Source organism: Homo sapiens, chromosome 6 (genome assembly GCF_000001405.40).
Source record: "Homo sapiens chromosome 6, GRCh38.p14 Primary Assembly".
Taxonomy (NCBI): domain Eukaryota; kingdom Metazoa; phylum Chordata; class Mammalia; order Primates; family Hominidae; genus Homo; species Homo sapiens.
Window position 1 is genome coordinate 34017877 of NC_000006.12, and position 21015 is coordinate 34038891.

Below are 21015 nucleotides of genomic sequence, written 5' to 3' on the forward strand. Positions count from 1 at the left end.
TTGATGCTGAATTCCAGTATGGTTGCTGGCTGGTTGATGTGTTTTGGGAGAACATGCCTTGGCTCAGAAGCCTGAGGCTTTAACTGCAGAATTCTGGGCACTGACGCTGGAGTTGGGAAGATATTTGGGGGCAGCGGGCTCCCTCAAACCATGTGGGCAGCTGGCCGGCCTGTTCCAGCTGGCCTGCAGGCTTGGAGAGTGATTTCAGATGCTCAAGGAAGGATCACCCACTGCCACTCACCAGCACCAAAATAATGACGGAAATGCATCTCCTGGTGCAAAAAGACAGCCCTTCACCTCATAGTCAGAAAGAAAGAAGTGCCCTGAGGGCAGATACCAGTTGCCCTGCAGTCAGCAAACCCTTTCCTGGGGGTGGAGCTCTGTTTAACTCATTATGGAAATTTTCCCGATATACAGGAAGGAGAGCAGGATAAAGACTGCCCGCTCAAGAATCATCCACTTTTGGCCACGTTGGCTTCAGCTCTGCTGCTCCCTGCCCTGTGTACTTTGAAGCGAACTGGGGCTGGTTTTATAAGAAAAGGGAGAAGAGGTGCCCTGGAAGTTAAGTGGGTCCCAGGGGGTAGCTGCACCCAGAATGGGGGTGGGGGTCCTGGTTCTGTGGATGGAGTAGGAGGAGGTCTGGCTGAAGGAGCCAGGCCCCATTTCCTACCCCAACTCCACCTTTCTTTGTCTTCTCCCTCCCCCCTTCCCCCCCTCACTCGCAATAAAAACATAATTATGGTGCTTTATAGAAAAAAAAGGCAAATTATGGTGACATGCTTTAATTATCCACCGAGCAATGGCGGGCTGAATTACACAGGCAGGGCCTTGGAGGTTACCTAAAAATAAAGCAAGAAGCCTCATTACATGCTAATTGCTGCTTTTGCCAACTGAAGTGAGATTCTGGTGCCGAGTGCCATTTAGTGCTGGGTTGGGGGTGGGGGTCTGAGCCCTGTGAGGCTCACAGTGCCAGGGCCAAGCCCTGAGGGGCAGCCAGGACCATCCAGGGCAGGCAGGATGACAGAAGGAGCCCTCAGTGCCAGGGGAGTGCCTCAGTTTCCCCTCCCTGTTCAGTGGGCAGATGGAAACCTGGGATGGGAAGGGGGAGCCGTGGAGCCAGTGAGGGTGTCAGAAAGAGGGGCGCCCAGCCTTATGCAGGCTCAGCATCTTCTCAGGGGCTCCCCAGGACCCCTTGGAGGCCTGGAGGCTGAGGCAGTGTGGGGGCAGCTGGCATGTGGCCCACTGAGACCTCTGTCCTGCCTGGCTCTATGCCTCTGCCTCCAGGGCCTGAGAAGTAAGGATGGGAGGGGCAGACCATAAGACATTAGAGCTCAGAACAGCCCCTCAGAGCCGGAAGGGACCTGAGACTCTGCTCCTGAGGTGGGTCTCCCCAGGGTCCTAGGAGTTCCACAAAGGTGCCCTGTGCATCCAGCTGGCCTGGAAGCTCCTGGGTGTCTGCTCAGGCTGGCAGCAGCCCAGCCTTGGGCTTGAGCCCCAGGCAAGCTCGAGTGGGCACTGTTGCTCCCTCCTGACTTCACAAGCCCCAAAGTCTGGTGCCACTCTTGGCCCACTTGACTGCACGGCCCATCTGCTGGGGAGCTTTTAAAATATGCCCGTGCCCAGCCCTCCCCCCAGAAGTTCAGGTCCAGTGTTCTGGAGGGAGCCCAGCGTCTCTATTGTCTAGAAGTTCCCCTGCTGGTTAGAAAGTGTGCTGTGGGGTGGGATGTCTGCTAGCCCAATCCTTCATTCAGACATTGAGGAGGCTGAGGCCACGGGGGTGAGCACATACCCCCTGCACACAGCAAAGGTCTCTAGGGGCCGCTGGCTCCCTATCCAGGGTGCCAGGGACCCTGAACCCCCCATCTTGTTGAAATCTAACATTCTGAAGATACTTAGCAGCTTTCTCCAGTCATTAATAATTGAGGATGAGAGCAAAGGTGAGCAGCCAAGCCAATTGTGAAGGGCCAGGCGTCCCTCCTGCCATGGGCATCAGGGCAGGTCCCACCCAGGCCAGCTGTGGGCCCCAGCCCTGGCTGCACTGGCCTGAGCCTTCTAGGTGATGGACCCAGGACTCCAGCAGCACCCACCCTCCCAACTGCTGCAGCAGGTCTAGCTGGCAAAAGTCTTGCTAGGGCCTGGTTCCCTCCTGTCCACCTCAGGCCCACAGAGCCCACCTCTGCACCCCAGGCTCAGATGCCCAAAGTCACACCCACCCAAGGCTTCCCTCCTCCACCCACCTCATTCTAACAGTCATTTTACTTTGGGACACAGTCTGCTGTATCTCCCCCATCACACTGGAAGCTCCCTGAGGGCAGGGCTATTTCTTCCCACTGGCAGGGGACTGGTAGTCCCTGAGGGCCCCTCCTGAGAGCCAAGGGGAGCCGAGGGGCAGCATCCCCCTTGGAGAGGTGATTCTCCTGTTAGAACCTAGATGGGGGCCCCACAGATGTAGGGGGACCTAGGCAAGTCCTGGACTGAGCATGAAACCCCTGCAGGCCCTGCCCTGGACCTAGCCTTGGGCCTCAGAGCATCAGTCACTTCAGGAGGGGCGTGAGCCACAGAGCAGGCAGGGTGCCCAGGATGGGGGTGCTGCCAGAGTCACCCTGGGGGAGAGCTGGCTGCACCCGCTTCTGCATTCCCCATCCCTACCCCCCACCCCCCCACCCCCAACTGCCCTGGAAGCTTTTGGGAGATACCCTTGATCTGGCAACCTAGTTCTGCCTGACCGGGCTGGAGCACTGGGTGGAATCTTTCCTGGGCAGAGGTCTTAGGAACCATTCCGCAAGATGATCAGCGAGACACTTCCTTTCCTGTCTCCTTCCCTCACACAAACATTTATTGAGCATCTACTAGGTGCTGCACACAGACCCCAGGGAAGAAGAGATTTCCTATGCACAGATGTGTGAGATGCCCAGGCCAGGAGTAAGAGTGGGCTGATGGAGAAGACATACCTGGCATGATTCAATGTCCCAGCCTCAGTTATACACACACTCTCATACTCTGTCCCTGCGTGGCCCCCTGCCTAGGGTTCCTCCAGTCCCTTCCACTGTGCTCCATAGCGCTGTCAGCTAGCCTGGAGGTGGGAGGGGGTGCAGGACCCAGGGGCAGGGCAGGAGGGGACGGCACAGGCAGCCCAGGCTCCAGCTGCTGCCTATGGCCTCATTGTGTTTCTGGCTCTATAATTTACCCCAGCCAGAGCCCAGCCCCTAAGCGCTCCTGTTTCCCACCTCCCAACCTGCCAGGGAAGCCAGCTGAGGTGAACACTCGCCATGGGCCTGAGACAGGCATCTGCATGAGCCACCGGGGCCCAAACAGATGATCAGACACGCAAACAAGACAGGCACGCATGCGCATGGAGGCGCTGGACGTGCACACAGACACACAGCCAACACAGCCAACACAGCCACACGGCCATGCCTGTGCCGTGCACTTGTGGGCCCACGTGGACACATAACAACACACTGATCTCCAGGACAGACACACATCTTCTTAGCACCCGAGCCTGGAGCCAACACAAGCAGGAGGGGACGGCTATGAGTGCTGGCAGCCCGGGAAGCTAACTTCTCAAGAAGAGGACTTCCTGGCTGGAAGGAGAGAGGCACAGGTTATGGGGGCAGGGGTGGAAGGGCAGTCCCAGGTGTGAGGGGTGTGAGACAGAGGACAGGCAAGGCAGAAATGTTACCCTCCCAGGGCTGCAGGGCAGGGGACAGAGCATACCCCCTAATTAGGGGACTACTAGGTGCTGATTCCTGGAATTTCCTGCAATGTCCCTGCCCCTTACCTGGGAATCTGGCCCCTCCATGCCCAAGGCCTCACCACACCACACTAGATCCCAGCCTAGGGAGCAGTCTCCACAGCCCCCAAGCCCTGGGTCTCCAGAGCCCAGTTCCCGCTTCCCTCTAGGTCTAAGCCCTCCAGCTGCAGGCTGAGCCTGTGGTCCCATGGCAGGACCCTCAGTGGATGTGGAGCCCGGGTGCAAAACCATGTGTTTATTTTTATTAGAAATGTTCTTGGTATAAAAACAATCATGCGCTACACATTGTCGTCAATAACCATCACCAAACACCCAGGCACTGAACTCCGTGTGGTCGGCAGGAGGGGCAGGCGGGCAGGCGGGCAAGACAGACGGCAGACGGGCGGGGCAGGCGGGCAAGACACACGGCAGATGGGCGGGGCAGGCGGGCAGGCTGCGGGCCACAGGGACACACACAGAGGCCACCAGGAGGACGCAGCACTTGGCAACACACTCGAGATTTGTTTTCGTTTTGGCTTTTTTGTGTTTTGATTTTTTTTCCTTTTTTCTCTTTTGCAACATGTAAGGTTTGGTGAACTGGGGAAGGGTGGCAGGGAGAGGGGAGCAATGGCTGGACGAGAATGAAGCAGAGGAGAACAGGAAAGAAAACGGCAGAAAAGTGACACTGGTGGGACCCAAGAAAGCAGGAGGAGCTGAGGACAAAGAGGATGAGAGAGAGAGGCGGAGGCAAGAGCCAGAAAGGAGACACAGAAAAGGCCAAGAGTACAAGCAGCCGGGGACGCCAGAGAGGGAAAAGGTGAAACAAAGAGATAAGAGAACAGAAAGACAGGGCTGGAGACAGACAGAGGGGTCGCCAACAGCACAGACAGAGACGAAGGGAGGGAGAGATCTAGCACTGGGGCCCACACGACCTGAGCCCCTGTGGTTTGGGGCCGGGAGGGGCAATGGTCCAAGACGCAGGTTCTTGTGGTAGCCTGGCACCGCCCCGGCCCCTCGTCCTCCTGTTGCTCACCCGGTTTGCCCAGGCTGCCAGCAGTGATGGCTGGGGGCTCTGCTATCCTCAGCACCAAGCCACGTCCGTGGGTGCCCACGGGCAGGCAAGACAGCTGGGCCCTTGGGTGTGGCCCTGGCCCGACGCACCTTCCACAGGGTCACGGCTCCTCCTCCTGCTGCTCAGCTCCATGGACTCGCTAGATTGCATGGTTGGTGTAAGTGACGTAAGTCTGTTTGGTGGCCAGCGCTGGAAGGAGAGAGACCAGGGGTACCCAGGAGTCAGGGGCTGCTTTTCTCAAACTGTCCTTCCACATGGGCACAGCCCTGCACAAGAACCTACCATAGCTCCCCGCCTCTCATGGCATCCAGTCCTGAGCTGAGCAATCGACACTGCCCCAAACTGCACCGGCCCCGCCTGGCCCACCCGGTTGCTTCTCCTGCTGTTCCTAGCTCCCCATCCAGGGACTGGGCCCATGTTTCGCACCTCCACGCCTTTGCCGGGCTGGGCTGCTTGCCTGGAGTGCCTTTCCTCTTCCCTTTGTACTCTAGAGATGACTCCTTCCTCTAGCACTCCTTCCCAAACCCCACTCCTGTGTGAGGGGCTCCCCAGCACGGGGCCCCTGCCACCTCCTAATTCTACCACCCTTCAAAAGAAACCTTTTTTTATGACATCATATAACCTTAAAATATTATCAAAGGGAAGTCTTTCAGAAGTTCAACCACACGCATTTTGGATGCGCACATGTAAGGAATATACATTAAACTAGAACAGTGGCCTAAGGGAAGAGAGTGGGGAACAGGGACAGAGGAAATAAATAATGAAAACCAGAGTGGGGCCGTGCATGGCTAGAAACTGAGGCATGCGATTGACTCAGCCCTCCGCCCTACACCCAAGGAAACACAAGTCCCCCAGATCCCCAGGGCCCTCTGAGCACCTACCCTTTCTACTTCTTGGTGCCCCTGTCTCTCTCAGTCTTGAGCCCCCCTTTTCTGCCCCTGTCCCTCTGGCCCTTACTCCACACCAGGACTGGGGTGGTACATGGGGGTATCTCCCATTCCTGTCCACAGCTGAGTGACGCCAGCAGCTCTCATGAGCAGTGTGAGTGTCCCCCACCCCTCCAGAGTGCAGACCCCACAGCAGCCTAGTGAGGCAGCCAATGAAGCATTGCCCAACTTGACAGATGAGGAACTGAGGCCAGAGGGGTGAGGGGCCTGGCCAGACCCTTGGTTTTGTCCTGTCTAGCCAGGGTTTAGGGCCTCCCTCAGTGGCCTGGGAGCCGCCTCAGTGGTGGTAATCAGGGCAGTATTGCTGCCTGGGGCAGGGGCTGATCTGCGAGTCTGGAGAGAAGCAGTGGGTGGGAGAAACCAGCTGTCCTTTGTCTAAAAGCTGCCCTGACCCTCGGTCAGGATCTGTTGGCTCAAAAAGGAGGCACATCTGCCAGACTCAGCCAGGGGCATCTGGAGAAGAGAAAACTGGGGGACAAGTGTGGTGGTCTACAAATTGTCCCCCCGATCCTCTCTCCCCTATTTCACTGGGCACATGACTCTGAAGGACTAGGTTTCCCAGCCTCCCTTGCAGCTAGCTGAGGCCTTACCTGACTGTGTTCTTCCTCATGAAATACACATGGAAGGACTGTGTGCAGCTCCCATGTCATTCAATTAAAATGGGTCTTTCCCCCATGCGTCTTCTCTTTTCCCTTCCATGAGCAGAACAACCATTGAGGTCATCTAGCCTCAATCTTCAGGGAGCCAATGGAGCAACAAGATGGAAGGATCCTGGGTCCTCACTCCCACCCACCCACCATGTCCTATTACGGCAGAGAGCAACAAACATCTGTCTGATTTGAGCTGCTCAGTTCTGGGACCTCTTTGTCACAGCAGTGTAACTGGAAGCCCACTAACACAGGCAGAAGTTTGGTGTCCAACTATCAGTCTATCACATGTGGACGAAGCAAACTGCTTGAGGATGGGGTGAGCAGAGGGGTCCACCATGGGACCAGTAGGGAGGCATGAAGGTCAGGGTCCAGCTCAGTTAAAGGAAGAATTTTCTCCTGGCCAGAGTTGGGTGGAGTCAGTGGCCTATGAGCTCCCTGTCAACAGAAAAATTCAAGCAGACGATGAAGAATCACTTAGCCGGATGGTGGTGGGCAAGTTTCAAGGTTTATGTGCTACCTGGACAGGTGCCAATGGAAGAAAATGGTGCCACAACATCCAAAAAAAGAATAAGAACACAGCATGGCACCTTACAGCTCATGAAGAATTCCCACCTTCATCTCTGAAATGACCCATGTCCTTCCAGGGTGCTGGATGACCAAGAGGGCAGAGGGACCACAGGACAGGTCATTTTGGATGGGGCAGCATCCAGGAGGTAGCCTGGGATGGCAGGTGCTGAGAGGGAGATGAGCACAGACCAGCACCCTGAGGGCGGGAGCCGAGATTCTAGTTGCTGGGAGGCCTCACACTCTCTCTGAGCCTCAGGCAGCTCTTCCCCTCCTTTGCTGGGCCTCAGTTTCCCTGCTTGTAACTTGAGCAAAGTGGCCCTTTTTGCCTAGACTACTTCTCCTGAGGGGCTTCCAACTGCCTCCAACATCTTCACCCCATTCTATCCCCCATGGTCAGAAAAGGAACAGCAGTGGCTATGCGAATCACAGCAGGCCAGGCTGGTGAGAATCAATTCCCCAGAGCTCCGTCACCCCCTGGGGGAACTGATAAAACTGAGCTTCCAAGCCTGTAAAACCCATCAGCAGCTCCTGGCTCAGAGGTGAAAAAAACTCTCAGCAGCCACAACAAAATCTCCACTGACTGCAGGGGATGCGAGCCTGAGGGCAGCTGAGGGGCACCAGGGGCAGCTGCAGACTAGAGAAAGTGTAGAGAGGAAGGACCACAGGGCCTCTGCTCTCCTCTAATGCCCTACCTGTCTGCCCTAGAAAACCCAGCTCACAGGTTCCAGAAGCTGGGGAGCTCTTCACCCAAGCCTCAGTCTCACCATCTGGAAAATGGGAGCCGTGAGTCTGCCCAGGGCCCCCATGAGCTAACAGTGAGGCTCCAAGGGAAAGGTTCACCGGAAGTCAGGACACTTGGGGACCAGTCCTGCCCGCAATGCTGTGGGGGAATCTCGACACCTGCCATGTGGCCCTTCTAACAAACTGACCTTCTCAGAGCCGAGAGTCTCTCATCTGTAAGATGGGGTGATAATAAACACCACGTGGGGTCAGCCAAGAGGTGAACAGAAACACTCTTTAAATCCTGCAAAATGCTGGGCAGAAGGACAGGGCTGGAATTATTCCAGCACTGGGGACTGGATAGGGACAGCAACACTCCCGGAGCACCCTCAGTGTGAGGGGAAGGCCAAGGGGTGTGGGCCGAGGCCCCGAGCCCACCCGGTGCTGACAATAGGCCCTGGCTGCTGGTTTTCAGTTGCCGGAGGCGCAGATAACAATTAGCCAGGCAGTGCTAGGCACCAGCTGACAGTCCCCGTTTGTCACCCCTTGTCTCCGCACCCAATCTGCCTGCAATCAGGCCCCTGAATTATTTATTCTGTTGTTTGTTTAAAGATATGTAGCCTGCCAGTGACAGAGTGAAAAATGTCCCTGTTCCACAGGAGTGACACCTTCCCACTCCTCCTGCTCACACCCCCTCCATCCGGCTGTCCCCAGAATTAATCACCTGGCTCCTGCCCGGTGCCTCCATGGCCCCTGTTGTCACTGAGCTGAGAGACAGTGGGGGCACAGGGTGCTGGTTGCTGCCCTTCACACAGGAGGTGGGGAGAGGGGCTCCCCACTTCCCTACCATGGAAGCCCCTAAGACTTTCAGAGGGGAGGATGCCAAGGCCTGCAGGGGGTCTGGGTGACCACAGACCCCTCGGTCCCTCCCAACCCCAGAGCAGCTGGAAGTGAGGCCCATGGGGGCTGCCCCACAGCCTGGAGACCCCCAGGCCCCTCTGGGCAGGAAGCAGGGGCCTGGGGATACGGGGTCTCCCTCCCCAGGCCTCCACACCCCTCCTCTGGCAGGAGTGGGTAATTGTCCCATGTTCCCAGGTGACTGGCTGGAGCAGAGGCAGAGGGCAGTACCCGTACTGAGCCATCAGAGCTCTCTGTGAGGGCCCCACCCTTTATGGGACCCTCTGCCCTGTCACAGCACCCGCGGTGTCACCCTTTGGGGCCAGGGTGTCACCTCCGGGAGGGGCTAATACCCCCTAGCTCTCAGGAGCACTGGGGAAAAGCATATCTGACAGACCTGCTCCTGCACGCAGCAGAGAGGTGGTCTGGATGGAACAGGACCTGGGACCTGGGAAGGAAGGTCTCCATGGGAAGGAGGAAAACTGGAACAGGGAGAGGGTCCCCAATTTGGCAGAAAGGCCTGGTCAGGACTTCATCTGGGGTTTCCGAACATCCAGGTAGACATGAAAGGCCAAAGGTGGGAGTCCCATGGGCCCCTCTGTCCCTTCCCCGCTCTGCATGGGGGCCAGCATGGCACCCGAAGGGAACCCCAGGGTCGTAGGTTGAGGGAAGCTGGTGTTCTGTGGGGAGGAGGAGGACTGGAAAGAACCAGAGGTCGCAGGGCAGGAAAAGGGGGACACACAGGCATCAGGGGTGTTGATCAGAGAGGGAAGGGTATCAGAAGCCAGTATACTCTCCACAACAGAGGTGCACAGGCTGGATCTCCGAGGAAGAGGGAAGTTGGCAAAGATGGTGGCACTGCTCCGTTACCAGCCCTGGAGGGACCTGTCCTGGCCAGCTCCAGACCACAGGCCTGCCCCTCAGCTGCCGAGGTCCCTGCCTGGTGCCCTCCCCCACCACAAAGCATGACCCTTTCCTGCTGGGTCTCCCCGGACAGTCCCCCAGACAGGCAACTACCTGAGCGCCGCTAGGCAGTCCTGTAGGCCCCTCTGCCTCACCCTGCCCTCACTCACCGGTCCTGGCCGGCCCATGTCCCGGGTCCCCATAGCTCAGGTGCCTGCTAGGGGGTGGCTGAACAAAGCCGAGCTGGGTGTTACAGCTGCTCTGGGCTCAGGGCCGCTCCCACCCCACCGGGTTACCAAAGGGCCAGTGTGCAGGGCCCCGGGGACGATTCCTTCTCCCAGAGGGGCTGAAAGGGCACAGGCAGGGGCACAGGCAGAGACCCAGGCCCCAGCACAGGGAAATCCCGGGGTCCCCGCTCACCCTCAGGGCCCAGGCGCCCCCTGGTGGCCTGCCTCGGGGTGGGGCACAGATCCCTGGAAGGGCGCTGCTAGGGCACCAGCTGGGGAAACCTTGAGGTTCTCTCCAGGCCACCAGGAGGGGCAGGACAGAACGGGCTCTAATGTGGTGCCTCAGGGCTCTCCCTGAGAGGCTGGCTCCCACCTGTAGCCTCAGGGTTCCCCCAGTGTCCCCCGCCGCCTCCCCAGGATGGGGCATCGGGGCAGGGCGGGGTGGGGAGGGGCAGGAGCTCAGCCCACCTGCTGCAAAAGGAGCGGGGCCTGGGGCCCGAGAGGGCAGAACGGGGCCAGGCACTCACCTGGGGCCTCAAGGTTCTCGCAGAGCTCAGACTTGGCCTCTCCGTTGGGCCGGAAGTTGCCCTTCTGCGTGAACTTGTTGGACATGGTGGCCGCCGTAACGACGGCTTTGAGGCTGCGCTTGCGCTTGGGCACGTTCTGCTCCGGGTGGAAGAGGATGATGTAGACTTTGGGCATGTAGAGCATTCCCAGGGACACCGAGGCGCTCAGACTCACCGAGACCGTCAGCGTCGTCGTCTGGATGTACAGCTGGCGGAGGGCACGGTGGCGTCAGAGCAGGCTCTGCCCCGACTGAGGGCCCTGACTCCCGCCAGTTCCCACCCAGGGACCCACCCGGCATCCCGCTGCCTTCAGGCAGAAGGAAGTCGTGGCTTGGAGCTGGGACTGCAGACCAGGGTTTCTGCATTCAAATCTTGGCTCACTACTTCCAGCTGTGTGATATTAGACACGTCACATCCTTGTGCCTCAGTTTCCTCACGTATAATGTGGGCGTGATAATGATAGTACTTACCTCCTAGGGCTGTTGTGAGAATTAAGTGACTTAATAAATGTTTTAAAAGTGTGGAAAACATCTGGCACATGGTAAGTGCCATTTCAGGTTACCGCTGTTATTTGCTATGTGGAGGACGTGCGCCTGAGGAGAGGCTCTCAGGAGACCACAGCTGGCCCTTCTCAGGGCTGAGGGCGAGAGGAGCACCCCTTGGTGCTTTGGGATAACACCCAGTGGCCACGTCACAGCCCCTCGGATCAGACCTCCATTCAATGACTGCCCCCGCAACGGTCCCCCAGTGCAGAGCATGGGATCCTCGGCACCCATCGCGATATGGTGGTGGCAGCAGTCAGAGCTCATTTCATGCTCGCTCGCCAGCACTAACAGTGACAGATGTTTAGCAAAATGAAAGCCCATTAATCTGGGTGTCGGATAATCCATTTTACAATAGTAGAGCCTTCCAGGCAGGGTCCGGCAATTCCCACTGTCCCCGTCTGGGATTCCCCTCCCTGCCTCTCCCTTCCTTCGGGTCCTCCAGGCCTCAGCCGCCCCTCTGAACCTCCTCAGCCAAGGTGGGACCAAAGGAGACCCAGGCTAGGCCTCCTGGGTCTGGGCATGAAGGAAGCAGGAAATGCTCTTTCCCAAATCTGCTCTTTCTGAGCCTGGGTCCTGCCCTGGTACATGGCTGGTGTGCTTCCTCCAGGAATCCTCTCCTGACCCCCAGCTCTATGGGCCCCCATGATACCCTTCATTTCTTCTACCCAGACCAGCAGTGTGGACACAGGTCTGGACTTGTTTCCTGAAGGCACAGGGGCCCTGGCCTCATCTGGCAGTACCCCCCATGTAGGGACCAGGTCTTCCCATTCTTATATTCCTCCCTGTCCCTTGCACGCCGCTCCATAGATGCCTCATGACACTGGATGGGATGACCTTCATTTCCAGCCACCCTGCCCTGGGTTTCCTACCTTTGGGAGAGGGACTGGAGAAGCCATAGGGCCTAAAAGGAGAATCCTGCCCTTCTGTGGGCCTCAGTTTTTCCCTCAGTGCAATGGGATGAAAGCAGCTACCTCACCCAAACCATGAGGGTACCCCAAGCACAGACTGTGAAGCCATGTGAAACTTGCTTTTAGTGACCGCAGGCACTGAGATGAAGGTGAGGAGAAGAGACATGGGGGACACGGGGGCATGACCGGACAGCCATGATGTGCCCAAGCCAAGGCACTGACACTCCTCAAAGTGCAGCCTCCAGGCTGGCGTGGCCCAGGTCAGGCAGAGCTCCGAGGGGAAGGAGGCCGAGAGTGGCCACTGGTTCAGGGAAATGTCACAGGCCCAGGGAAAATGAAAGCCTGTCCCCCAGTGAGCACATGCCGCTCCAGACACAGACAGGCCTCCATCCTCAGATACTACTTACACTCTCACCCCTGGGCATGGAGCTCTCCTGGAGGGAAAGGTCATGACCAGCCAGCGGGGCCGTGCTGGCCGTCTCTCCTGCCCAAACTGGGGCTGGTGGCCAGGGTGAGAAGGCAGGAAGAAGCTCCAGAGCATCAAAACAGACGCTTGGGGAATATCGTAGAGTCTCGGGCTAATGGAGAATAGGCTTGTCATCTGGGTCTTCACCATGAGACTAGGAGTTCCCTAGGGACAAGGTGTGTCTCCCTGATTACATCAGGGTTCCCTGAGGGCAGGGCTGGCTCTCCTCTCACACTGGGGGTTCTTGGAAATAGGGGTTGTGTCCCAGGTAAGACACCCATCTTAGACCCTTTGCCTGCTCCTTGTTGATGGGTGCAGTGCAATTGGGCCCACATGGAGTTGGTGGGACCAGGGATTGAGGCCCTTCTCTGGGCAGAGGAACCCTTGCAGTGGACACAGTTCTATGTCGAGGGCCAGCGTCCTGGGTTCCAGATTCTACTCTGCCTCAGCCCACTGTGGGATGCTAACAAGTTTCCACCCCTCTCTGGGCACCAGATGCCCCTCCATGAACACAGGCAGGGCCAGCGCTATGAGTGTACAACCTGTGCAGTCACCCAGGGGCCTGTGCCTAGCTCTCAGTTTAAGGTCCTTCTGCCACCATATTGAATCGTGGATAATTTCTGAACAGTGGGCCCTTCGTTTTCATTTTGTGCTGGGCGCTGAAAATTATATAGCCAACTCTCAACACAGGCATGGGCACAGTCATTGGTATTCTCTTCTATATTGTTTTTCAGCCTAGGAGCCTTTCTGCGAACAAAATTCAAGGGATATAAATAGATCAAAACCCTCCCTCCCAGCATGGGCCCTGGGGGCTCCTCTAGCCATCCCCAGCTGGGAGGTAGGCCCTGTACACAGCAGGAGTGGGGCTGCCCACCGCCAGTTCTGCTCCTTGCCCCAGGGTGTGGAATTTGAGCCCCACCATGGGAGCCTGCCTCTGGGTCAGACATTGTTTCTGGAGCCCCCTCTGTGAAGGTACACATGGCCACCAGGAGGTGGTAGCAGGTTAACCCTTATCAGAGAAACAGTGGTCCTCTAGACCCCAGCAGGCACTCCCGAGGGGCTGAACCCAGGCACCAGGAAGGTCCTAAAGGGAGGTAGAGCGAGAGGCGGCCTTCGGGCTATGATCTCCCCTCCTCTCCCACCCACCTGCCTCTTAGCCCGCTGGTGCCTGAACTCCCACCATCCCTGCTCTCCTGTGTGGATGGGCCCTCACTGCACTCCATCCTCCATGAGGAATCCTGCATTCAACCTCACTAGTCATGTGCTCCCCATGGTGAAGGAGCTTGTCTGAGCTGAGTTTGATACAGGAGGACAGAGGACACCTGGGGTGAGGATAGGGCACAGGAAGGAGCAGCTGTAGATGTGGATGATGAATTTCCTGCTTTCGTGCTAGGCCTGGTGGGTACAGGGTTCGAGGGGCCCCAGTGGGGGCACCAGGGAGCTCTGCCTGCCTTGTGCTTCTGCCGGCTGACCCTGATAGGAACCAAGATCCTCCAAATCTGTACAAACCAGACAAATAAACTTCCCCACACCCTGATTGCCTCTGCAGCCACGTCCTGCCCAAGCATGACTGAGCAGTAACCCCACGTAGTGGAGAAAGCCCGCTCAGTGTAATTCCAAATGGCTGTGGTGTTAAGCCCTGGAAATCCGGGCTAAGGCTGGGAAATCCAGCCGCCTGCTCACCAGAGTGGCACAGACAGCTTCACTCTGTGACAGCACCTGAACCCTGGGGGAACGGGTGCAGCTGAGCATGTGCAAGTGCGTGTGTGCATACATGCATGCCTGCTCACACACACATCAATATACACGTACGTACCTGCATTGACACATACACCTGACCTCACAGCTGCACATTTGCATCTGACTCAGCTGGGCTCTCTCTCTCTCTCTCTCACACACACACAAACACACACACACACACACCTCTTCACACATGGGTACACACATATACATAGACACAAATGTACTCACACATCTACACACATCCACCTGCACACACTCACTAACATTTGCACTCACACATCTGCACACTTGTGTGCACAAACACTCCTGGGCACATATGCTCAGCCTACACATCCATACACACACCAGCAGCTACATACCCTTCAGCACACCCATCAACCCATCCCCGCTTAATCTGCATGCACATGGGCACACACCTGTGCACACACACCACACATGCACCACTGAGCATGTACATGCACAGAAAGGCACACACACGTCTATACACACACACCTCTGTAGGCACACCACAACTCCTGACAACAGCCACACCCCGCTTGATCTACATGCAAACACACACACTTAGCAGCCAGACCTGCAGCTTGCACTGGGGCATCTTGCAGCTCGGCATGACATGGCCCAGACACAGCCCCAGGTTGCCTGAGTCTCTAAGAAGCCTGGTAGTCTGAACCGCAGGAACTTCAGAACACATGTCCTCCACCGCCTCCCGTTCAGAGGCCCAGAGTGGGAGAGGTGTATGTCCCATGTCCTAGGCCACCAGGGAGAGAGCACACTGGTGTGAGGCCAGCCTGTCGTATGACCTGGGACAAGTCCCTGTCCCTCTCTGGGCCTATGAACTGATCATCTCAGGGACTCCCTTCATAATCAGGGCTGGCTGGGGGAGCCTCCTAAAAAGGCAGGAATCAGAGGCTGGTAGGTCACCTGCAGAGATTGAAAGGGTAGGGAGGCTGAGTTGGGGGGCTGGGTTGCAACATCTGGAGACTGGAGAGCCTGATATCCTGGGATGACAGGGACCCCACTGGGGAGTGGGCTGCTGGCAGGCAGCCAGGGGGAAATATGGCAAGGTGGAGGGAGGGGCTTAACCATCACGTGTGGGCCTCCCAGCCAGGTACCTTTACTCCCTGAGGAGGTGTGGGAAGGGGCCTCCTGGTATTGTTGAGGGTAATTTCTCAAGCTGCCAGTTTCCTGGGGTATGGGATGGCCTCCCTGCTGGCTCCATGGGGCCCATGAGCATTGAGAGGCGTGAGGGCCTCTGCCTGCACCTGCGCTCAGCAGGGAGGGTCTCCCACAGCAGGCCTGGTGGAGGCCAGAGACCCAGCTCACAGCATGGGCCGGGCGCCATGGCTGCACCAGGGCTGCTTGGCTCAGGCTTGCAAGGTGGGATCCCCCTGCTGAAGCAGACCCAGTCTCAGATCTCAGATCTTAGGACACTCACTGCCAGCCCCAAGGTCTGCCTCTTAGGGCCCCCACAGGGCCCCCATTGGAAGATGACCCTTGAGGAGCTGTTGGAAAAGAGGTGGGCACCTACCAAGGAAGTCCCAGGGCATGAGGTATCCCAGAGCTGCAGGGGGGAAGGGTGTGCTGGGGATGGGGGGGTGCTCCTAAGTTAGACAAAGTGGGGACAAGTCCAGCTGTGCCACCAAGGCAAGTCACTCCCCCTCTCTGTGCCCCTGAGTCCTCATCTGTAAGCAGGGGATGATGAGACCTCACCAGCTGCCATGGGGCCAAACGGCCGTTAGGTAAACTGTCTCCACATGACGAGCACCCCATCCCATGGCTGCCTCACTGAAAACTAGGCAACCCTGGGAGCTCAGACTGGCGCTCACAGCTCGCTCTTTCTTTCTCTCTCTTTCTTTCTCTTTCTCTCTCTCTCTCTCTTTCTCTTTCTTTCTCTCTCCCTCTCTCTCTCTTTATTTCTTTTCTTTTCTTTTTCATGAGATAGACTGTCACTCTGTCACCCTGGCTGGAGTGCAGTGTCACAATCTCAGCTCACTGCAACCTCCGTCTCCCAAGTTCAAGCATTTCTCCTGCCTCAGCCTCCTGAATAGCTTGGACTACAAGCATAAGCCACCATGCCTGGCTACGTTTTTGTATTTTTGCTAGAGACAGGGTTTCACCATGTTGGTCAGGCTGGTCTCGAACTCCTGACCTCAAGTGATCCACCCGCCTCAGCCTCCCAAAGTGCTGGGATTATAGGCATGAGCCACCACACCCAGCCTTGGGCTCACAGCTCTAGATGCCAGGCTCAGGCTGACAACTCCTCAGATATGTCTCCAGCCCAGAACTTGCCCCTGAACTCCAGACTCCTATATTCAACCACTGACTTGGCAGCTGCATTTGGACGTCTAATGAGCATCCCAAACTTAGCATGTCCAAAGGACCCCTTCTCCTGCCCCTCCCAGGCTCCTCTCATTGTCTGCTCTTCCTTAGCATGGGAAACTCCTTCCTTCCTGATTGCTCAGGCCTCAAAGCATGGTGTCCTCCTTGACTCGACTGTCTCCTCGTCTCCCACCCAACGTGCCATCCATTGGAAACCTGACCAGCCAGTCTCCAGACAGGCCCAGACTCCCCCACTCCCCACTGCATCTGCTGGGGACACCCTCTCCTGCAGAGCATGACAGTGACCTTCTCACAGCTGCTCTTGGCAGCCAGAGGGTCCTTTTCAACCTACATCAGATAGCACCCTCACCTGCTCAGAAGCCTGCAGCGGCCTCTCTTCTCACTCATGGTAAAAGCCAATGTCATTGCCACCATCTGGCCTGTCACCTCTCTGATCTCGTTCCCCACTCCTCTGGCTTCCTCAGCTCCACACTCCTTACAGTGTATTAACTGTTTGTGCACCCACTGTGTCATGTGATTGTGACAATACCTGGAAAGACTGCAGGGAAAGGGACATGGTCCCAATTTACTGATGAAGAAACTGAGGCCAGGGAGGCCAACTGGCTTGCCCAGATCCCACACTTATACATGGCACTCAGACCAAGACCTGGGTCCTTGGTGCACCTTGATGCCCTGCCTTCAGTGACTCCCAGTACTTCCAGATAACACCCCCGAGTCACCCAGCCAGCACCAGGACTGGGATGTGGGCCGAGCATACAGGTCTCTTGGGGTGTGCCCAGGTCCTCGGACCAAGCCAACAGGAGGCAGAGGTAGCCACTCTGCAACTCCAGCCAAGGGAAGGAAAGGCCCTCTGCCAGCCCCTAGCCTTTAGGCTTCCAGGGCAGCTTGGGGCTGGGGAGAGAAGGGGGGTCCCATGGGGATCTTGTGAGGGGTAGATGGAGGAGGGAGAAGAGAGGAGTGAACCAAAAGGAAGACAGGGTTGAGTAGGGAGAGAGGTAAGAGAAAGGAGTCTAGAAAAGAATGAAGAGTGAAGGAGGGTACAGCGCTCCAGGCTTATGGAGGGGGGAAGGGGTGAGAGAATAGGAGGAGGAAAGAATGAAAGGAGATGGGGTAAGGGCAGCAGGGATGGAGAGACAGGGAGAAAGAGGAGGAGGGGGAAGGAGAACAGGGGGAGGATGGAAAGAGGGAGTAAAGTGGGGCTGAAGGAGACAAAAGGAGGAGAGAAAAAAGGAGAGATGAGACAGAGAGAAAGGGGGAGAGAGAAGAGGGAGAGGGGCAAAAACAGAGAAAGAGGAGAGAAAACCCAGAACCCAGAGAGAAAACTTGCAGCTGGGAGAGAAGGCAGAATGAGGCATGAAAGAAGGCAGAATGAGGCAAGAAAGAAGGCAGAATGAGGCATGAAAGAAGGCATTTCTGGAGCAGGGGGGAGGCCAGCCAGCCTCAGGAGGCTGCCCCTTGCTCACTGCCCTCACCTACCCACCGTCCACCCCCGGCCCCCACCACTCACCTTGTCGGCCGACTGCGAGGTGCCAAAGAAGATGGGGATGAAGGCCAGCCAGACGATGCAAGTGGTGTACATGGTGAAGCCAATGGGCTTGGCCTCATTGAAGGTCTCGGGCACGCCGCGTGTCTTGATGGCATACACGGTGCACGTGACCATGAGCAGCATGCTGTAGCCCAGCAGGCAGATGAGCGACAGGTCCGAGATGTCACACTTGAGCACACCCCTGGCGAAGCGGGGGTCGAGTGTCCGCTGGTCCTGGAAGTCCACCACCGAGTGGGAGGGGTCCACCACAAACCACACACAGATGCCCAGCAGCTGCAGCGAGATGAGGCTGAAGGTGATGGCCAGCTGTGAGGCGGGGCTGATGAAGCGTGGGGCACTGACCGAGCGCTTGCCCTGCTCGAAGATGCGGTAGATGCGGTTGGTCTTGGTGAGCAGGGCTGCATAGCTGATGCTCATCCCTAGTCCCAGGAAGATTCGGCGCAGCGAGCAGGTGCCAAGGTCGGGCTCAGCGATCATGAGGAAGGTGGTGGCATAGCACAGGAAGATGCCTGCCAGCAGCACGTAGCTCAGTTCACGGCCCGAGGCCTTGACGATGGGCGTGTCGTTGTAGCGCACAAAGGTGATCACCACGAACAACGTGGCAGCGATGCCCACCACGGCCAGGAAGAGGGGCAGCACGGCCCAGGGCGAGCCCCACTCAAGCTTGATGATGGGGATGGGCCGGCAGCCCGTGCGGTTCTCTGTGGGCCGCATGTCATAGGGACACGTCTTACAGGTGTAGCGGTCCACCTGGTACTGGTACCCTGTGCAAGGCTCGCAGTGCCAGCAGCAAGGCATGCCCTTCACTGTCTTCTTCCGCTCACCCGGTTGGCAGGGCAGGCTGCAGATGGAGCGGGGCAGCTGCTGCCCGCTCCCCGGCCAGTGCATCCGCTCTATCTGGCAATGACAGCACCGTAAAGCAGGCCTCAGAACATGCCACCCGGTGCCCCGGACCATCCTACTGGGTGGTGGCACCTTGTAGCCCCACACTCAAATCACCCAGCTAGTTGGCTAAAAGTCCAGCTGCCCGGACCCCACAGGGACTTACTGAATCTAACAGCTGGAGTTAAAAAAGGTCTCCGGCATAACTCAGACATAATTGACCTACAGGGAATCCTGACTGAACCCGAAACTCTCAAGACTCATATGAAGAAACTGAGCCCAGAAAGCAGTAGTGACAACCTAGAGTCACAGGAAACAACAGTGCAGAGCAAAGAGAACTCAAGAGTCCTGACTCTTAGCCCCTAAGGCCTTGCTGCTCACAGTGGTCCCCAGGGCGGCAGCAGCAGCCTCACCCAGGAGCTTGTTGGAAAGGCAAATTCCAGCCCCATCCCAGACCTACTAACTCAGAATCTGAGTTTCAGCAAGACCCCCAGATGATTCCTGTGCACACTGGAGTGGAAGATGTGCTGCCCTACGGCCCAGCCCAAGGCACCTCTGCCAAACAGCAGGGAGTTGGATTCAGCAGAGAGCTGAACAAAGGTTTAATCAGAGGATGCTTAATGTGTGCTCAGGGGTTAGCATTTCTTTACATCTTGCTCTAAATTAGTGCTACCCACAGTTACACGTCCCTGAAGACACAATGACTGTGAGCAATAGAGCCACACGAGTGTTGTCACACCCTACTGAATATGTTACAATATTCTGGAAAGTGAGAGTCCCAAAAGAGTCTCAGGCATCAGGCAAAGGGACTTGACTACACCTGGGAGCTGTATTCAAAGCGACTGTTCTAAATAAAGTGTCTCTTAGGAAGTGCTCACTCTCAGAGCACAGCAAGCCTGGCTAGACTGGTGCATTTGCACTGGGTGCTACCTCCTGATAAAGTGTAACTAGCTGGTTGGGGGGTGTGGGGAGGGCTTTAGAATAAAGGAAAAGGGGCCAGGCATGGTAGCTCAGGTCTGTAATCCCAGCACTTTGGGAGGGCAAGGCGGGAGGATCATGAGGTCAAGAGATCGAGACCAGCCTGGCCAACATGGTGAAACCCCGTCTCTACTGAAAATACAAAAATTAGCTGGGTGTGGTGGCGTGCACCTATAATCCTAGCTACTCAGGAGGCTGAGGCAAGAGAATGGCTTGAACCCAGGAGGTAGAGGTTTCAGTGAGCCAAGATCATGCCACTGCGCTCCAGCCTGACGACAGAGCAAGATTCCGTCTCAAAAAAAAAAAAAAAAAAAGAATAAAGGAAAGGGGTAAGGTGGGTAAGTAGGGATGCCTCGTGGCAAGGTAGGAAGAAAACCTCAAGGTAGAAGGTTGTCCTGTGGCTCTGGGCATGACAGGATGTGGATTAACTCAGAAGCCAAAGCGCACAGAGCAAGGACAAGTGCCACCTGTCCTGCAGGAATGTGGAGGCGAGACGGTCCCTGTGGACTGCAGCTGTGCAACTGCAGGGGAAAGACCCTTCCCCAGAGGACACGGGGCGATGGTGAGTGTTCCGGAAAACTCTGTGATTCAGATGGAAAGAGCAGTGACTGAGGTCAAGTCCTGGGATCACAGTTCTGTTGCTACCTGGCTGTGCGTCCTTGAGCAAATGGCTTCTCCTCTCTGAGCCTTTGTTTTCTCATCTGATCCAATGAAAGCAGATATGAAGCCACTTTGCCCTTTGTTACTTGGAGTGACCTCCATTTAGAAGTCATAATGGATATACTTTTTAATATTTCACTAGAACGTCAGCTCCATGAGGGCAGAGGCATTGTGTTAACTTCCCTGCTGTGTCTCCAGCCCTCAGCACAGGCTGGCACATAGTAGAGGCCCAGCAGGTCTCTGTGGAATCTATGAAAGAATAACTACACAGGCAAGAAGGTCCAGGGTACCAGTGATGCGACGCCGCCACACCCTGAGACCCTGGAGGAGGACAGTAGCCAGGTAGGTGGTTACAGGTACCTTGCTTGCTCTGTGGCCCTCACAGCACAGCCCAAACTGAGCCACTCACGGAGAAAGTGGGGAAGGTTGATGGTTAAAGTCCAACCCCATCTCACCTCCCCCCACCACCTCAGCTCTGTCTGGGCCTTACAGGTGAGGAGGACTAAGAGGGCATTGGGAGCTGCATCAGAATGGGCCATGAAGACGGTCTGGCCGGTGGAGGGGCCTTGTATTCCTGGGGAGGGGACTTTCAGGGGAAGGGCCCACTGCCACCCACACGTGCCCAGTCCCTGCCACCTTCAGTTAGGACATCTGGAAAATGGGGA

At 56.8% G+C, this 21015-nt stretch overlaps 1 protein-coding gene across 6 annotated transcripts in view, besides 4 other annotated features; it reads right to left on the reverse strand.

Annotated features, from left to right (window-relative positions):
- The window catches only part of GRM4 (glutamate metabotropic receptor 4), a 136980-nt gene continuing 116731 nt past the window's right edge, over positions 767-21015 (reverse strand). For all 6 annotated transcript variants that reach the window (NM_001256809.3, NM_001282847.2, NM_001256811.3 and 3 more), the window contains 3 exons: positions 17792-18727; positions 10244-10490; positions 767-4994 (listed from right to left, as the gene is read on the reverse strand). In NM_001256809.3, coding sequence (NP_001243738.1) covers positions 4945-4994; positions 10244-10490; positions 17792-18727 — 1233 coding nt within the window. In that variant the 3' untranslated portion in view covers positions 767-4944. The remainder of the gene's footprint in view (positions 4995-10243; positions 10491-17791; positions 18728-21015) is intronic.
- Positions 7930-8657: an enhancer, noted in NCBI's record as "H3K4me1 hESC enhancer chr6:33993583-33994310 (GRCh37/hg19 assembly coordinates)". NCBI's record gives its function as "activates a minimal SCP1, AML or CMV promoter by ChIP-STARR-seq in primed H9 embryonic stem cells {active_cell/tissue: H9 hESC(primed)}" and the evidence as "EXISTENCE:reporter gene assay evidence [ECO:0000049][PMID:30033119]".
- Positions 9830-9999: a silencer, noted in NCBI's record as "silent region_17058". NCBI's record gives its function as "represses an Ori minimal core promoter by ATAC-STARR-seq in GM12878 lymphoblastoid cells {active_cell/tissue: GM12878}" and the evidence as "EXISTENCE:reporter gene assay evidence [ECO:0000049][PMID:35858748]".
- Positions 13442-13964: an enhancer, noted in NCBI's record as "H3K4me1 hESC enhancer chr6:33999095-33999617 (GRCh37/hg19 assembly coordinates)". NCBI's record gives its function as "activates a minimal SCP1, AML or CMV promoter by ChIP-STARR-seq in naive H9 embryonic stem cells {active_cell/tissue: H9 hESC(naive)}" and the evidence as "EXISTENCE:reporter gene assay evidence [ECO:0000049][PMID:30033119]".
- Positions 19106-19165: an enhancer, noted in NCBI's record as "active region_24375". NCBI's record gives its function as "activates an Ori minimal core promoter by ATAC-STARR-seq in GM12878 lymphoblastoid cells {active_cell/tissue: GM12878}" and the evidence as "EXISTENCE:reporter gene assay evidence [ECO:0000049][PMID:35858748]".